Source organism: Homo sapiens, chromosome 9, assembly GCF_000001405.40.
Source record: "Homo sapiens chromosome 9, GRCh38.p14 Primary Assembly".
Classification (NCBI taxonomy): domain Eukaryota; kingdom Metazoa; phylum Chordata; class Mammalia; order Primates; family Hominidae; genus Homo; species Homo sapiens.
Window position 1 is genome coordinate 96,725,272 of NC_000009.12, and position 4,192 is coordinate 96,729,463.

Sequence of the window (4,192 nt, forward strand, 5' to 3'; positions counted from 1 at the left end):
GTGCCACCAGCCCAGATAGTTGCCACTCACGCATGACTGTATGGGGGACTCTCCCCTTATGGGAAACACTCTCCCTTCTTATTTTCCCTTTCCCAACTTGGGACCCTTGGTGGACAAGTGTCTACGCACAAAGACAACTCTAGGTCTCCTGCTGGAGCTACACTCCCATGGGACTAAACGGTGTCCATGTGGAAGCATCTGATGGCCACCTTCTGTTCAGGTGAGAAACCTGTTTATTCTGTCTTTAGTCTTTCAGCAGCCGGCTTCTAGTATCTCCTGGCAATTGATGGTAACTGGCTGGAGCTGCTCTCTGGTGTTGCCTGAAGGCCAGAGAGTGAATAGGGCCAGCAGCCCTGCCTGCAAGGCAGAAAGGCTGTTCCTATATTTTCTGATCGGTAGCCTCAATGCCTACGTGTGACGCAACTGACAGTGGAAGCTCATTCACGGCAAATTCACATGTTTTGGATGACTCAGATTTTCTCTTTCTCACTCTAAATTCTCCTGTGGAGTCAGCCAGCCATCCTATTCCAGCTAAATCAGCTGATCTTGGTCACCACCCCATCCCCAGGGATGGGCGGAGGGGGTGGCGGCAGCGACAGCAGGGGAGGCAGCTGGATTAAACAGGTCACCTGCAGGTATTTTATGCTGGGGTTTGTAAGGAAGGTGATAACTGTCGCTACTCCCATGACCTCTCTGACAGTCCGTGTGGTGTAGTGTGCAAGTATTTTCAGTGAGGGTACTGTATTTATGGAGACCGCTGCAGATATGAACATAGCAAGCCATTGAAACAGGAAGAAGCAGCTGCTACAGAGCTAACTACAATATCATCCCTTGCTGCTTCCTCAAGTCTCTTGTCGTTAGTCGGACCACTTGTTGAAATGAATACAGGTGAAGCTGAGTCAAGAAATTCAAACTTTGCAATTGTAGGAGCAGGTTCAGAGGACTGGGTGCATGCTATTGAGTTTGTTCCTGGGCAACCCTACTTTGGCTATATTAGATTTTCAGTTCCCTTGTAGTTCATGTATCTGTCTTATTAGTTTGGACCTTTACCACCCTCTTGAAAATTTTCAGCTGTGCCTTCCTGCACTGAAGCACCTCTGCAGGACTCAGTGACCAAGGAAGAATCAGAGAAAGAGAAAAACTGCTGTGGAAACCAAGAAGCAGCTGTGCCCCTGTGCTGCAGTGAGAGAGTGCTGAGATGGGGAGAACTGTGTGCCTCTCCATGGAGATTCATGTGACATGTGTGGACTGCAGGTCCTGCATCCCATGGCTGCTGCCCAGAGATCACAGCATATAAAATTGTGCATTGAGGCCCATGAGAAGGACATGGAGCTCTCACTTGCTGTGCAGCGCAGCAAGGACGTGGTGTATGGGATCTGCATGGAGGTGGTCTATGAGAAAGCAAACCCCAGTGAGTGCTGCTTCGGGATTCTCTCCAACTGCAACCATGCCTACTGTCTCAAGTGCATTCGCAAGTGGAGCAGTGCTAAGCAATTTCAGAGCAAGATTATAAAGTCCTGCCTAGATTGCCAGATCACATCTAACTTTGTCATTCCAAGTGAGTCCTGGGTGGAGAAAGAAGAGAAGCAGAAACTCATTCAGAAATACAAGGAGGCATTGAGCAACAAGGCTTGCAGGTATTTTGATGAAGGACGTGGGAGCTGCCCATTTGGAAGGAATTGTTTTTACAAGCATGCGTACCCTGATGGCCTTACAGAGAAGCCACAGAGACAGAAAGTGGGAACATCAAGCAGAAACTGGGTCCAATGAAGGAACCACTTCTGAGAACTCACTGAGGAAAGAGATAGCAGCAACCCTTTTGACAATGATGAAGAGGTTGTCACCTCTTGAGGTGGGCGAGATGTTGCTTATGCTTTTGGCTGCAGGTGGGGATGATGAACTGGCAGACTCTGAAGATGAGTGGGACTTGTTTCATGATGAGCTGGAAGATTTTTATGATTTGGATCTATAGCAACCTTGTGTGGCGTGTGAACTGGTCTGCTGACCCCAGACAGCAGCTGTCCCCTGTGCTGGTGTGGCAGTGCCTGTGTTCTCTCCTAGGTAGGCCTATCAACTCCAGGTGTTGTAAAAATTTTTACCCAGGGCCTGTCTTCTCAACCCTTCACCTTTCCCCGAGGAGTGTGTTATTTTCCCTGTTGAAAACAGTTAAAACTTAAAGTTAGTTTTTTGTAACACAATTAAAAAAAAAATCAGGTGATCTCAAACAGCCTCAAAATGGGGAATCTTTCCTTATCTGTTCCCTCTCCTGGGCTAGTACAGGCAGAGTTCTCCCTTCACCCGCAATATCAAGGTTGTTTATTTTTGTTTATGTCTGAGAGTTCTAATATTTGTTCTCAATTGAATTGCATTGGCACCATTTTTTGGAAACATTTGACTTTTTATTATTTGTGGCTCTGTTTCTGGAGTCTGTATTCTCTTTTTTTCATTGTTGTTGTTTGTTTGTTTTTTGGGGATTTTTTTTTTTTTTTTTTTTTTTTTGAGACAGAGTCTCCCTCTGTTGCCCAGGCTGGAGTCCACTGGCACGATCTCGGCTCACTGCAAGCTCCGCCTCCCGGGTTGAAACGATTCTCCTGCCTCAGCCTTCCGAGCAGCTGGGATTACAGGCACCTGCCACCACACCTAATTTTTGTATTTTTAGTAGAGATGGGGTTTCACCATGTTGGTCAGGCTGGTCTTGAACTCCTGACCTCAAGTGATCTGCCCGCCTAGGCCTCCCAAAGTGCTGGGATTATAGGTGTGAGCCACTGTGCCTGGCCTGGAGTCTGTATTCTCTTTTGTTGATCTGTGCCAGTCCTTTTGCGAGTATGCCCCCCTTGATTACTATTCCTTTAAAATAAGTCTTGTATTCAGAATGTGAATCTCCCAAGCTTATTCCTTTTCAAAATTGTATTGGATATTCTAAGTCCTTTGCTGCTTACAACTTTAGAGTCTACCTTTCTGTCTTCAAAACTTGCTGTGACTTTGTGTGTGGTTGCATTAACTCTGAGGATCAATTTTAAACCTCTTTCTGTATTCCAAAATCATGTAACCAATGGTGCGGTATATAATTCCACCTGTATCTTCACAGATGTTAAATACCCATTTCCTTTTTCTTGTTCTTTTTATCTTAGTATATAGCATCATCATCTAACCATTTGCTCATGCAGCCTATGTACAATTGCACACAAAAATGATAATGAAAAATGTTGTTCCCTTCTCTCACAGGGATTAGCTTCCCAGTCTGAACCTCATTGCTTTACCTCTATGTAGGTCATCTGTTAGATTGTTCTCATCTGTTTTGCTCCTTAAGACATTCCCACTCTTCTGGAATATTGCTTCTGAAAGACAAGTTTGATCATGTGTAATACTTCCAGGGCTTACATGCATCCTTTGTTGGTTCCCTCTTAACCTAGCAGAGAACTGTGATGAGGTTTTTATATCCTAGAGAGTTCTCAGGATGGTCCACTAAGGTGTAGGAAAGATGGCAGAAAGCCTAACTAAAATAACTTTATCTAAAACAGAGACACTAAATCTTATCCATAGTATATTAGCTGACAGTCTATGTATATAATTTATAAATAAATATACATGCATTAGGGCATGAGAATAATATTTGTACCAATTATATGAGTACCCCAAAGCATAAGACAATGGCAGAGCCATAATAGGGTACTTTATAACATTTAAACTCTCAACAATAAACACAATACAAATTTGTTTTCAAAGGCATTTTCCACAGTACAGTTTCTAAACCCTTCAGATTAATTAGAAATGTGCTGTTGTATCACTTCTTGGCCTTTTGGCTAAGATCAAGTATAGAAATGTGCTGTTACAGGCGTCAGTCATTCCAGGATGTGACTGTGGAATTCACCCAGGAGGAGTGGCAGCACCTGGGCCTTGTTGAGAGGACCCTGTACAGAGACGTGGTGCTGGAGAATTACAGCCACCTCGTCTCAGTGGGTGAGCACAGCTTACCATGGGGTTCCCTCCAGAGTGCAGTTATGTTTCTCCTCTCTTTCTCACCTCCTTTTTATGTATTTATTTATTTTTTTGAGACAAGAGTTTTGCTCTTGTTGCCCAGGCTGGAGTGCAATGGTGCAATCTTGGCTCACTGCAACCTCCACCTCCTGGGTTCAAGTGATTCTCCTGCCTCAGCCTCCCTAGTAGCTGGAATTACAGGTGGCCGCCACCA

General features: G+C 44.7%; 1 pseudogene across 1 annotated transcript; it reads left to right on the forward strand.

Annotated features, from left to right (window-relative positions):
* Positions 1–549: 549 nt before the first annotated feature.
* Positions 550–2,196, forward strand: MKRN10P (makorin ring finger protein 10, pseudogene; annotated as a pseudogene). The gene has a single exon (NR_026792.1). The product of NR_026792.1 is annotated as a makorin ring finger protein 10, pseudogene (transcript).
* The last annotated feature ends 1,996 nt before the right edge of the window (positions 2,197–4,192 follow it).